Source organism: Homo sapiens, chromosome 5 (assembly GCF_000001405.40).
Source record: "Homo sapiens chromosome 5, GRCh38.p14 Primary Assembly".
NCBI lineage: Eukaryota > Metazoa > Chordata > Mammalia > Primates > Hominidae > Homo > Homo sapiens.
The window spans coordinates 69,609,486-69,624,174 of NC_000005.10; the positions used below are offsets into that span (position 1 = coordinate 69,609,486).

The 14,689-nt window shown below is 44.2% G+C and overlaps 1 pseudogene; it reads left to right on the forward strand.

Moving 5' to 3' along the window:
• NAIPP3 (NAIP pseudogene 3) lies at nucleotides 8,825–13,964 on the forward strand (annotated as a pseudogene).

The window sequence follows — 14,689 nt, forward strand, 5'->3', positions numbered from 1 at the left end:
ATTCCAAATCGGTTGAGCTGCACAAAGGTGGCAGTACATAAAACATATCTTGTAAAGGGGAACTGCCCAATTCCACCCATAATTGTTAGAAGAAATACTCCCTAGAGGTTACTGAAATGTTGAGAATGCAAACAAACACATTTGGACTGGTTCTGTGATGAAACTAAGGTATCCCTTAATTTTATGTCTTTGACTTAAGTGATGATTGTTGCTGTGATAAGAGGGCCTCTACCTTCGTAGACTTTTTGTATGACCCTACTACTGGGGGAGCAGGATGAAGTGAAAGCCTGTTGAAGACTTACTAGTTCCTTTGCTCCAAATTGTGCTGAATGATGAACAGATTAATATCATTCAAAAGAAAGGAGGCCGGGTGTCCTGGCTTACACCTGTAATCCCAGCACTTTGAGAGGCTGAGGCAAGAGGATTGCTTAAGCCCAGGAATCTGAGGCTACAGTGAGCTAGAATCATGCCACTGCACTTGTACTACAGCCTTGGCAACAGAGTGAGCCCTTGTCTCCTATTTAAAAAAAAAAAAAAAAAAGGAAAGGGCTGGGCATGGTGGCTCACACCTGTAATCCTAGCACATTGGGAGGCCGAGGCGGGTGGATCACCTGAGGTCAGGAGTTCGAGACCAGCCTGGCCAACATGGTGAAACCCTGTCTCTACTAAAAATAAAAAAATTAGCCGGGCATGGTGGCACATGCCTGTAATCCCAGCTACTCAGGAGGCTGAGGCAGGAGAATTGCTTGAACCTGGGAAGCAGAGGTTGCGGTGAGTCAAAATTGTGCCACTGCACTCCAGCCTGGGTGAACAGAGCAAGACTCCATCTCACTTTGTTGCCCAGACTGGTTTCAAATTCCTGGGCTCAAGCAATCCTCCCACCTTAGCCTCCCAAAGTGCTGGGATTACAGGTGTGAGCCACTGTGCCCAGTCAAGATTCTAATGTATCCTAGTCTTGATGAATTAAACAAATAAACCTTTAGGATGATGCAAAAGCAGAATCTACAGTCACTTTAAAGCAGTGTGATGTAAAGAAAAGGGTGGCAGAGTCTCTTGGTGCTATGGGACCCAAGGACATTTACATTGGTGTGGATAAAATGCCCGGAGTGGTGAAAAACTTTATTGTCATTGTTGGACCATGGTGCATAATGTATTGTTATACCTGCTAATAAAAAATTAAACGGCAATTAACTTAGTTTAGTATGACAATACAACTGTAAGTTTAAGAGTGAAAAATGGGCCAGGTGTGGTGGCTCAGGCCTGTAATCCCAGCACTTTAGGAGGCTGAGGTGGGAGGATCACTTGAGCCCAGGGGTTTGAGACCAACTTGGCAACATAGTGAGACCCCCCCCACCAACACCCCCAACACGCTTGTCTCTATAAAAAATGGTGGTGTGCTCCTGTCGTACGAGCTGCTTGGGAAGCTGAGGTGGGAGGATCGCTTCAGCCCTTGAGGTTGAGGCTGCAATGGATGGTGATCAAGCCACTGCACTCCAGCCTAGGTGACAGAGCAAGACCCTGTCTCAAGAAAAAAAAAAAGTGAAAAATGTCCATATAAAAACTTGCACACTAATGTGCACAGCGGTATTATTTATAATAGCCAAAAAGCGTAAACAATCCACACATCCATCAACTGGGTTGAGGAATAAAATATGGTATATGTGATAATAAAGTGTGGTATATCCACATAATGAAATATTATTTGACAATGAAAAGGAATATGAAGTACTAAAACAATACAACATGGATGAATTTCGCTTCCTTTTTTTGTTGTTCTTTTTATTTTATTTTTTAAGCACCTCTACCAACATGAACATTTTGCAAAGTGAAAGCAACCAGACACAAAGGACCACGTACTGTATGATTCAATTTATATGAAATGTCCCCAGTAGGCAAATCTATAGAGACAGAAAGTAACATAGTAGTTGCCTAGGGCTAGGAGGGTAATGGGGGACATGGAAAGCAACTGCTAATGGGCACAGCGTTTCTTTCTGGGGGGATGAAAATGTTCTAAAATTGATTGTGGTGGTGGTTGTGCATGTTTATGAATATGCTGATATTTATTGAACTGTACATTTTATTTACTTTTTTTAGAGACAGAGCCTCACTCTGTTGTCCAGGCTGGAGTATAGTACTGCAATCATAGCTCCCCGCAGCTTCATATTCCTGGGCTCAAGAGATCCTTCCACCTCAGCCTCCCACGTAGTTAGGACTACAGGCACATGCCACCATGCCCTGCTAAGTTTTCGTTTTCTTTAAAAAAAAGTTTTTTAGAGACAGGGTCTAGCTATGTTGCCCAGGCTGATCTCAACTCCTGGTCTCAAGCAATCCTCCCGCCTTGGCCTCAAGAGCATTGGGGTTATAGGTATGAGTCACCGCACCCTCAGTTGTTCATTTTAAATGGGTGAATTTTATGATGTGTGAATTATATTTCTTTCTCTTTTTTTGAGATGGAGTTTCACTCTTGTCGCCTAGGCTGGAGTACAGTGGTGCGATCTCGGCTCACTGCAACCTCTGCCTCGTGGGTTCAAGCAATTCTCCTGCCTCAGCCTCCCGAGTAGCTGAGATTATAGGCATGCGCCACCATGCCCAGCTATTTTTTTTGTATTATTAGTAGAGATGGGGTTTCACCATGTTGGCAAGGCTAGTCTTGAACTCCTGGCCTCAGCCCCCCAAAGTGCTGGGATTATAGGTGTAAGCCACCACAGCCAGCCCCAACTAGCTGGGACTACAAGCACGTGCCACCACACCTGACTAATTTCTTTTTTTTTTTTTTTTTTTTTGTATTTTTAGTAGAGATGGGGTTTTGCCATGTTGGCCAGGCTGGTCTCAAACTCCTGACCTCAGGTGATCCACCCACCTCGGCCTCCTAAAGTGCTGAGATTACAGGCATGAGCCACTGCTCCCGATGGATTATATTTCAATATAATTCAATTATGCAATATAATTGCATAATTGTTATCATCTCTCCCTGATATATTATCGGAATGGATGTGACATCTGAATGGGGATGCTGTTGAGGAAAGAGATTTCATGAAATGTACAGTGAGTGGCATAATTGTGGCTCACTGTAACCTTGAATTCTTGGGCTCAAGTGATCCTTCTGCCTCTGCTCCCCGAGTAGCTGGGACTACAGGCATGTGCCACCACATCTGGCTAATTTTTGTAATTTTAGTAGAGATGCGGTTTCATCATGTTGCCCAGGCTGGTCTGAAATTCCTGGCCTCAAGTGATCCACCTTGGATTCCCAAAGTGCTAGGATTACAAGCATGAGCCACCTGTGCCTGACCAAGATTTGTTGTTTTCTTTCTTTTTTTTTTTTTTTTTTTTTGAGAGTGAGTTTTGCTCTGTTGCCCAGACTGGAGCCCAGACTGGAGTTTAGTGGTGCAATCTCAGCTCACTGCAACCTCCACCTCTCAGACTCAAGCAATCCTCCCACCTCAGCGTCCTGAGTAGCTGGGACCACAGGTGCCTACCACCATGCCCAGCTAATTTTCATATCTTTTATAGCGACAAGGTTTCACTTTGTTGCCCAGGCTGGTCTGGAACTCCTGGTTCTACAAACTCCTGGACTCAAGTGATCCTCCCACCTCAGCCTCCCAAAGTGCTGGGATTACAGGCATGAGCCACTGTGCTCAGCCCCTTAAGATTTTTAATTCGTAGATTTCCTCTTTATCCATCTCTTTTTTCTTGTCACTTATTTGTTAAAGAAGCCATGTAATCTGTCCTGTAAAATTCCCTCTACTCTAGATTTGGCAGAATGTGTTCCTCTGGCATAGTCTAACATGTTCCTCTACCTTCTGCATTTCCAGGAACCTGACACTTGGATCTAGCAGTTTGGTCAGGCTCAGATTCTATTTTCTTTCTTTCTTTTTTTTTTTGTGACAGTCTCACTCTGTTGCCCAGGCTTGAGTGCAGCGGTGCAATCTTGGCTCACTGCAACCTCTGCCTCCTGGGTTCAAGCGATTCTCCTGCCTCACCCCACCCAGGTCTGGGATTATAGGTGCGCACTGCCACACCTGACTAGTTTTTGTATTTTTAGTAGAGACGGGGTTTCTCCATATTTGCGAGGCTGGTCTCGAACTCCTGACTTCAGGCAGTCCACCTGCCTCGGCCTCCCAAAGTGCTGGGATTATAGGCATGAGCCACCGTGCCCAGCCTCAGATTCTATTTTCTTTAACAAATATTTGTCACACACCTACTACATGCAAAGTTGTTGGTTGGATACTAAATTAACTACAAAACTGGACACAGTTATTTACATTTATAAGTCATCTTGCACATGGACAGCCATGCCCACAAAAGTGAATGGAGGCCCGGCATGGTGGCTCATGCCTGTAATCCCAGCACTTTGGGAGGCTAAGGTAGGCGGATCATTTGATGTCAGTAGTTCAAGACCAGCCTGGCTAACATGGTAAAACCCTGTCTCTATTAAAAATACAAAAATTGGCCAGGCGTGGTGGCAGGCGCCTGTAATCCCAGCTACTTGGGAGGCTGAGGCAGGAGAATTGCTTGAGCCCGGGAGGCAGAGGTTGCAGTGAGCTGAGATCGCACCACTGCACTCCAGCCTGGTCAACACAGCGAGACTCCATCTCAAAAAAAAAAAAAAAAAAAAGGCTGGGCACAGTGGCTCACACCTGTGATCCCAGCACTTTGGGAGGCCAAGGCGGGCAAATCACTTGAGGCCAGGAGTTCATTCAAGTGATGAACTCTCCTCTCCCCTCTTCCCTCTCTCCTCTCTCCTCTCCTATCTCCCCTCTTCCCTGGCCAACATGGTGAAACCCCATCTCTACTAAAAATACAAAAATGAGCCGAGCGTGGTGGTGCGTGCCTATGGTTCCAGCTACTCGGGAGGCTGAGGCAAGAAATTGCTTGAACCTGGGAGGCGGAGGTTGCAGTGAGCCAAGATCACTCCACTGCACAGCAGCCTGGGCAACAGAGTGAGACTCCATCTCAAAAGAAAAAAAAAGTGAATGGATATCTTTGGTATGTTTTGATACGTTGTGTGGGAAAGCAATATGCACAATAAGTGCAGTGTGAGACTTTGAAAATGTTTAAAACCACTCAAACTATATATGGAGTTGCTTGAAAATATATAGAAAACCTTATGAAAATATGTAAACCAAACTGTAGATACTTCTGGATCTGGATTTGTCAGGGGGTGAAGTAGTGATGGATTTTCACATTTATTTTGTTCATTGCTGTCTTGTTTAAATTTTTGGAAACAAGTATATATTACTTTCATAGTTGAAAAGAAAGTGAGGAGATTAGGAGGGAGGAAGTAAACAAGGGAGGAGAGGAGAAAGGCAGGAAGAGGAGAGAGAGAAAGTTAGACAAGTAGATGAGATGGTTATAGGGACGAATGAAGCTAGAATTGAGAAATCATTTGACAGTCACTCTGGCTCCCTGACGAATCAAAACAGCCACCCAGGCAGTCCTTGTCCATGCTGACAGTGCACCATATATGCATATGTAACAGGGAACAGCAGCCCCGGCTGGAGCACAAGCCGCTGCTCGTGGGCACCTGTCTCAGCTCTAGCCTCAGCTCAGGCTTCACTTAGCCTCAGGGTCACTGTGTTTAGTGTCGCTGGGTTATACACTGGACAAGTACCAGTGGCACCACTCACACATGATCACATTATCATGTGACTAGCACCTACTAGAGCCGCACATCCTGTCTGCAGGGGCCTTCATATGCCTTCTCTAACATAGTCAGAGGGTAAGGTAATAAGCACAGGGAGGGGAGACAGCAGTCCAGCAACCACTCCTAGAGAGGAAGGAGTTCAGGCCAGCAAACAAGGGCAGGGGGTAGTGCAGAGGCTTAGGAGATAGAGCCAGGCTTGAATCTGCTGCTACCTGACTACCAGACCCTAGGCAGGTGACTGACCTTGTCTGAATCTCATATGTAAAATGCAGTGTCAACAACAACAAAAAAATTAGAGACAGATATCCCCAAATATGTCAAATTTATTCAGGAATAAGAAAAGAGGGTTATGATTTGGAATGCACTACTGTAAACCACAGGCACGTGCAGTGAGGGAAGAGTAAAGGGAATTTTTCTTGGCAAAAGGGAGAAGTTCACATAAGCTGCTTAGAAACAGAGTTCATAGCTGGGCATGGTAGCTCATACGTGTAATCACAGCTATGTGGGAGGCTGAGGCGGGAGGGTCTTTGGAGGCCAGGAGTTTGAGACCAGCCTGGGCAATGTGATGAGGCTCCAGTTTCTTTAGAGAGAGAGGAGAGAGGGGAGAGGGGAGAGGAGAGAGAAGACAGGGGACGGGGGAGAGGGGAGAGGAGAGAGGGCAGAAGAGAATTCCTTGGTTCTGAAGGCTCAAAGCCTTCTTGTGTGTTCTTGTGTGTTCATTGGTGGAGATGCTGTTCCTGGGCAGGTGTTCTTTTGACAGCATCTCATCTCATGTTATCTTATCTGAATTGCTGCAGTCCAAAAGAATGTGCAGTGATAAACCTTGCCATAGAAATATGTGCGTACATGCAAGCAATGCAAAGCAGGAGATGCGTGACAGGCGTGAAGGGATTTCTTATGGGATTCTTAGAAAGTCTTTGGAACCGTTCCTGTCTTGGACATGAAAGCCTGAACCCCACTCCTTCGTGCCTTCCCAGCCCTATTTTGTGTGGGTCTGATAAAAGTGATTTCATCTTGGTATCTGCGACTTCCACAGCAGATAATAATGTACAGCTTGTCTGGTGGTTGTAAGGATGAGAAACAAAGTATATGGATCAAATGCTTTGTAAAAATTACCATGTATAATGTGAGGATGACAGATGACCCACTGTTTTGCCTTTCATTTGTTTGTCGTCATAAGCACATGGTCAGTCAATAAAATCTAAGAGCTGGAATTAGAGCAAGAATCCCCAAGTTTCTTGTTGGGTTACTCTGTCTTTAGCTTTCTGGACTTCAATTTGTTGCTTCTTTTTATCAACTGTCAACAAAATGAGTATACCCTTACACTTTTTAAAATGTGGCACTCCATAAATGTAAGATGATTTTATGGTAACTTTTTAAGGTACTGAGTTCCTCCTCAATCCATATAAATCATGAGGACAGGGAACCACCCCGTGCATTGTGTGCCATGTAGGTTATGTGCAGACTTACGGCAATCCTTGGAAACATTTATACACCTGAAAACTGGGGACCCTGGCTGCCTATCACATAGAATCATGGCCCTGGGGAAATATGCAGATCATCTGATGGCATCCATGTTCTCCTGTGATTATAAGAGAACATGGCAAGGTTGGTCACATCCCCACTGGTGGAAGAGCGGGTACTAATGCTCCAGCCTTTGGGTTCCCAGCCCATTCTTTGCTACAGCACCATAGAAAGAAAACTTAAATTTGAATTGGAGGGATTTTTATTTTTATTTTTATTTTTTTTGAGACAGAGTCTCTCTCTGTTGCCCAGGCTGGAGTGTAGTGGTACAATCATGACTCACTGCAAACTCTGCTTCCCAGGTTCAAGTGATCCTCCCGCCTCAGCCTCCCAAGCAGCTGGGATTACAGGCGCCCGCCACCATGCCTGGCTAATTTTTGTATTTTCAGTAGAGATGGGGTTTCACCATGTTGACCAGGCTGGTCTCAAACTCCAGGCCTCAAGTGATCCACCCGCCTCAGCCTCCAAAAGTGCTGGGATTACAGGCATGATCCCCCATGCCCAGCTGAATTGGAGGAAATTTTAAAAGTTAATTTTAAAACTGCTTCTCTTTTATGGGAAAGGAATATGTTTTTAAATGGTATTCAGTGTGCTCTTTTTTAAAAAAATCAAAAATTATCCATTAACATCCGTTACTTTTTTTGTTTTTGGTTTTTTTTGAGATTGAGTCTTGCTCTGTTGCCCAGGCTAGAGTGCAGTGGCATGATTTCAGCTCACTGCAACCTCCACCTCCCAGGTTCAAGCGATTCTCCTGCCTCAGCCTCCCAAGTAGCTGGGATTACAGGCGCCCGCCACCACACCCAGCTAATTTTTGTACTTTTAGTAGAGACAGGGTTTCACCATCTTGGCCAGGCTGGTCTCGAACTCCTGACCTCGTGATCCACCTGTCTCGGCCTCCCAAAGTGCTGGGATTCCAGGCGTGAGCCATCACGCCTGGCCTAATAGCCATTACTTTTTAATGCATGGTAATTTTTTGTTCAGTAGATAAATATATTGTTATCTTAAAAAGATTTTTTGTATTTACTTTTGAGACTGGGTCTCAGTCTGTTGCCCAGGCTGGAGTGTAGCAGCCTGATCATGGCTCAGTGCAGCCTCTACCTCCCCGGGCTCAGGTGATCCTCCCCCTTCAGCCTCCTGAGTAGCTGGGACTACAGAGGTGTGGCACCATGCCCGGCTAATTTTTGTATTTTTTGTGGAGATGGGGTTTTGCCATGTTGCCCAGGCTAGTCTTGAACTCCTGGATGTGAGCCACTGCGTCTGGCCTATTATTTTAAATATAGTTCTCTTTACTGCCAGTAGCTTTCATATAACCCTAGCGACTAGATTTAGTCACCACTGCTTAATTCCAAAAAACAAAAGCTCCATCCTATATTTACTGTAAATCAGTCTCTTTGATTGTATTGCATGTTTTATTTCAAGAAAAAAGTTAACCTGAAGATTTAATTTTAAATAACTACACATGTTGTCACTAATAGAAATAACAAATAATTATATGAGAATAATGGTAATTCTCCTAAGTTTTGTGGTAAATTTTTTGGCAATTTTATTGAAGTATAATAAAATTCAACAATTCAATACGTCTTTATAAATGTTCATTGTGATATAGGACAGCTCTATCACAGTACTGGGGTAAATTTTAATTATATTTATTAATTACAGATGTGAATTTCTTCGGAGTAAGAAATCCTCAGAGGAAATTACCCAGTATATTCAAAGCTACAAGGGATTTGTTGACATAACGGTAATGTATAACAGCAATTTTTTTCTCAAGTTTTTGGATTACCTGTAAGTGTCTGACTCAGAAGGGCATAGGCATTCTTTTTATGTCATGGGTTTGATTTCTTTCTTCCTTTCTCCTTTCATTCCCCTGGCTCCCATCTTCAAAGTGAAAAATATCACATTCACTTGCTGACCTAGAGCCTTTTTCTTTTTCCAGGTCTGGCTTCTGACGGGCTCTGCTTGCCTTCCTGATAGTCTTCCCCTTTATGAATGAAGCCACTTGCCCCAGCTTCCCTCTGCTGCCCCTATCTGCAGGCTTGCTAAGATCTCCTGACCTAGGCGCTGTCACCCACAGTGGGCTGCAGAGCTGGCTCTTCCTAGCTGGCTAACTATCCTGAATCAGTAAAAATTTCCTAGTGGAGAGTGATGGGAAATCGAATCCAAACTGGCTTAAACAAAAATGAGAATTTATTGATTAACATGACTCAGGAGACCAGAACTCTATAGAGAACATGGCCTGACAGTGGGGGAAGAGAGGTGTTTCCTCAAAAAGAAACTGGGTGCAGCTTTCCCAGAAGAATCAGTTGCTCAATATATAATACCCTGATGAATTTAGTTACCATTCTATGTCTCTTACTTCCTCATTCGTCAAAGTACATCTGTGATATTTAAATGCAGGTCTGTTTTCAAGGTCAGTTTCCGGAAACAGTGACCCTGAGAAGGCTTCCTCCTGAGTATGCATAAACATTCACAGCTTGCATGCGTGTGTGTGTGTGTGTGTGTGTGTGTGTGTGTGTATGTTTGCTTGCACTGCATAAAAACAATTGCAACATCAACAGAAATAAAAATTAAAGGAATAATTCTCCTCCGACTCTGCCGTTCCATCCAGTGAAACTCTTCATTCTGGGGTAAAGTTCCTTCAGTTCTTGTTCATAGATAGGTATATACTTCATAAGTCAAACAATCAGGCTGGGCGCAGTAGCTCATGCCTGTAATCCCAGCCCTTTGGGAGGCCGAGCTGGGCAGATCACTTGAGATCAGGTGTTCGAGACCAGCCTCAAGACCTCCAACATGGGCCGGGTGCAGTGGCTCACGTCTGTAATCCCAGCACTTTGGGAGGCCGAGACGGACGGATGATGAGGTCAGGAGATAGAGACCATCCTGGCTAACATGGTGAAACCCCATCTCTACTAAAAATACAAAAAAAAAAAAAATTAGCCCGGCATGGTGGCAGGCGCCTGTGGTCCCAGCTACTCGGGAGGCTGAGGCAGGAGAATGGCGTGAACCTGGGAGGCAGAGCTTGTAGTGAGCCAAGGTCGTGCCACTGTGCTCCAGCCTGGACGACAGAGCGAGACTCTGTCTCAAAAAAAAAAAAAAAAAAAAAAAAAAAGACCTCCAACATCGTGTCTGTCTCTACTAAAAATACAAAAAAAAAAAAAATTAGCCGGGTGTGGTGGCACATGCCTGTACTACTCGGGAGGCTGAGGCAGGAGAATCACTTGAACCCAGGAGGCGGAGGTTGCAGTGAGACGAGAACCTGCCACTGCACTTCAGCCTGGGCAACAGAGTGAGACTCTGCCTCAAAAAAAAAAAAAAAAAAAAAGTCAGATAATCAACAACTTGAATTTTAATTTCCCTCAGGGAGAACATTTTGTGAATTCCTGGGTCCAGAGAGAATTACCTATGGCATCAGGTAAAAACTCAAACATTTTCCAAAGGCTTTGCTTGTTTATTTCTTCTTTTGATTTTTTGTCCCTATCTCTTTTTGTCGTCCCCCCCGCCCCGCCCCGTTTATTTTGAAGCAAACTCTAGACATCATTCCATCTGTAACTGTGAAGGGACAACTTGAACGCTGATACTTGCAATATCAAAGCCTACTGGTCTCTTTAATTTGTGCAGCAGCAATAAAGATATAGAAAAAAAAAAGACTAAAGCCTGCTGGTCTCACCTTGTGCTTTTTATTCAAGCTTATTGCAATGACAGCATCTTTGCTTACGAAGAACTACGGCTGGACTCTTTTAAGGACTGGCCCCGGGAATCAGCTGTGGGAGTTGCAGCACTGGCCAAAGCAGGTCTTTTCTACACAGGTGAGTCAGTAGGTTGTGCCCACTTGCTTGCTTGACCTTTAATTCCCACATAGACTTTATGCTCCTGGGCTTACGTTTAGCTACACTCAGCAATGTCCACTAGCTTCAGCGTTTCTTTTTCTTTTCTTTTTTTTTCCCCCTTGGAGACAGAGTTGCCCAGGCTGGAATGCAGATCTTGGCTCACTGCAACCTCCACCTCCCGGGTTCAAGAGATTCTCCTTCCTCAGCCTCTGGAGTAGCTGGAACCACAGGCGCCTGCCACCACGCCCAGCTACTTTTTTGTATTTTTAGTAGAGACAGGGTTTCACCATGCTAGTCAGAATGCTCTTGATCTCCTGATCTCGTGATCTGCCCGCCTTGGCCTCCCAAATGCTGGGATTACAGGTGTGAGCCATCGCGCCAGGCCTCTCTTCAGCATTTCTTATAGATTCGTTTTCTTTTCTTTCTATTTTTTTTGAGACATGGTCATCCAGGCTGGAGGGCAGTGGCGAGATCATGGCTCACTGCAGCCTCAACCTCCTGGGCTCAAGTAATCCTCCTGCCTTGGCCTCCCAAAATGCTGGGATTACAGGTGTGAGCCACTGCACCTGGCATACATCTCTTTTCTTTCCTGCATCATAAATCCTCTCCCAGTTTTCTATTCCTCCCTTAGGTGGTAAACCTTCAAATTTGAAACCTTAAGGTCTGGACTAACAATGAATACAAGTATTCTATTTGTGATAATTATCATGTCTTTTCTTTCTACACATTACTCTCCTCACCTCTTGTCCCCTGACAAAGTGCTCCTAGAAACTGTCACAGGACACTTCTGCTTATATTTCTTTAATCAGAACTTAGTTGGATGGGCCGGGCATGGTGGCTCACGCCTGTAATCCCAGCACTTTGGGAGGCCGAGGTGGGTGGATCACCTGAGGTCAGGAGTTTGAGACCAGCCTGGCCAATATGGTGAAACTCTGTCTCTACTAAAAATACAAAGAATTAGCCAGGCATGGTGGCGGGTGCCTGTAATCCCAGCTACTTGGGAGGCTGAGGCAGGAGAATCGCTTGAACCTGGGACGTGGAGGTTGCGGGGAGTCAAGATCATGCTATTGCACTCCAGCCTGGGCAACAAGAGTGAAACTCTGTCTCAAAAATAATAATAATAATAATAATAATAATAATAATAATAATAATTATTATTATTATTATTAGTCAGATGACCATACCTAGCTGTAAGAGGAGCTGGGAAACCTAATCTTTTTCCTGGGTGACAATGTGCCCAGCTAAATATTGGGATTTCTATTAGTATGGAAGGATTTGAGATAATAGGAACATGGATAGCAATCTTTGCCACATTCTGCCTGCAGGAGAAAATCAGGAAATTAATTTTCATGATTCCTAAACACGTAGAGCCTTCCACCAGATTGTGGCATTTTCTCTTTAGCTGCTGGTCATTAGGAAGCACCTCTGCAATCTATAAATGATGGGCTGGTTCCTGTCAGCTAAATCTCTGCCTGAAATACAAGATGATCAGGGAAAGGTTCCTAGGTACCTTGCTGGTCTTGCTCAAACCGAACACATGCATAAGTTACAGTGGAGGTTAATGCAGATCTTTAACTGAGAGATCAAGTAGTTGTCACAAATACCATAGAGCAACACAGAGAAGCAGAATATAGTTGTCACTCTACCTAACAGACATGTGCCATTGGAAAAAAAAAATCTGACTGCCTCACAATCTTAAGCCTTTGGAAAGAGTGTTTGCCATTTCTCCCTACTCTACTGTGTCTTCCTCTTGTCAGCCTTCCGCAAGACCCCTCTGACCAGTGTGCTCCCCCTCTTCCTTTCCAATCCTCCACCACTCCACACAAATCCTAATCATCTCTGACTGTTTTCAGATCTTGCAAGCTCTAGGATCTCATATTTCTGGGAGGCTTTCCTCTGCCCCAGCTTTCCCAGAGTGGAAGGAAGATGAGAAATGCTCTGTTTCTAGTTTGATCCTTTTGCAGAGCTAAATACCAATTTCTTTCCAAAGAAATATAATTTCACAAAGAGACTTAATCCTATTTCTGGTGTAATAAACATGGCAATAATGTGGTAAGAGGCAATTAATTCTTCATGCATTCACTTACATAAGGGCTGCTAGATTTGCTGGTATTTTTTTTTCCGTGAGCTCTAAATATATTCTTTCTGATTCATTCATTAAACGAATACTAATTGAGTGCCACATGAGTGTCAAGCACTTTTCTAGGTTCATGTCATTCATTAGTGAGCAAAAACCTCTACCCTCATAGAGCTTATTTTTATTTTTATTTTTTGAGACAGAGTTTCACTCTTGTTGCCCAGGCTGGAGTGCAATGGCGTTATCTTGGTTCACTGCAACCTCCGTCTCCTGGGTTCAAGCGATTCTTGTGCCTCAGCCTCCTGAGTAGCTGGCATTACAGGCATGTGCCACCATGCCCAGCTAATTTTTGTATTTTTAGTAGAGACAGGGTTTCACCGTGTTGGCCAGGCTGGTCTCAGACTCCTGACCTCAGGAGATCCGCTGGCCTTGGCCTCCCAAAGTGCTGGGATTACAGGCATGAGCCACTGCGCCCAGCCCCCTCATGGAGCTTCAATTCCAGATTCTGGTTGCCAATCTGTTTGTTGATCAAAGGAGAATGGGGCAGAGGGATGGTGTGCATCAAAGTGCATGGTGTGTAGGAGCATTCAATGACTACTTGCCAGTTACCCCATTGGTGGACAGAGTCTTATATAGAAAATTGCCTCACTGGTAACCAACTTCTGACTGTCACAAAACCCAACTGGAGACTGAATAGGCTTTCACTATTACAGGTCTGGTGGTTATTATCTGCATGTTAATGGACAGATGCCCATGCCAGTGGCACTGATCAAGTTTCCTTACTTTTAGGTATAAAGGACATCGTCCAGTGCTTTTCCTGTGGAGGGTGTTTAGAGAAATGGCAGGAAGGTGATGACCCATTAGACGATCACACCAGATGTTTTCCCAAGTGAGTGGAATGAATGTTAACCATCTGCAACTTTGGATGCACTTCAACAGTTTTTTTCTTTTTCCTCATTTCCTGCCTTATTTTATCTTTAGATTGAGTCTTTATCCACTCCTCGGATTCAGGCTATGAAGGATGAGTCTTCATGTCTTTCATCCCTTTGCTCCATGACCCCCTTCCTGTACTAGCCTTCCCCTCTTTATAGTTATGGCATAGTTTTGGCTAGATTCATATATTCACATTACATGTTTACATTATCATGACTATACAAATGCTATGTGGAGCTGAAGCTTGTGGTAAATTTTTATTTATTTTTCCCTTCCTGTATATCCTTTTATTTTTTTAGGAAGTAATAACTGTCCTGTTGGTATGTTAGCTTATTTTTTTTTCCTGAGGTAAAATTCAGGTAGTAACCATTTTATTTATTTATTTATTATTTTTTGTGACAGGTTCTCTCTCTTGCCCAGGTTGGAGTGCAGTGGTGCAATCATGGCTCACTGCAGCCTTGACCTCTCTGGCTCAAGCAATCTTCCTCGCTCAGCCTCCCAAGTAGCTGGGACTACAGGCACATGTCTTCACACCCAGCTAATTTTTTTTTTTTTTTTTTAAGAGACAGGGTCTCTCTATGTTGCCCAGGCTGCTCTCAGACTTCTAGGCTCAAGCAGTCTTCCCATCCTGGCTTCCCAAAGTGCTGGGATTATAGGCGTGAGCCACCATGCACAGCAATTAAA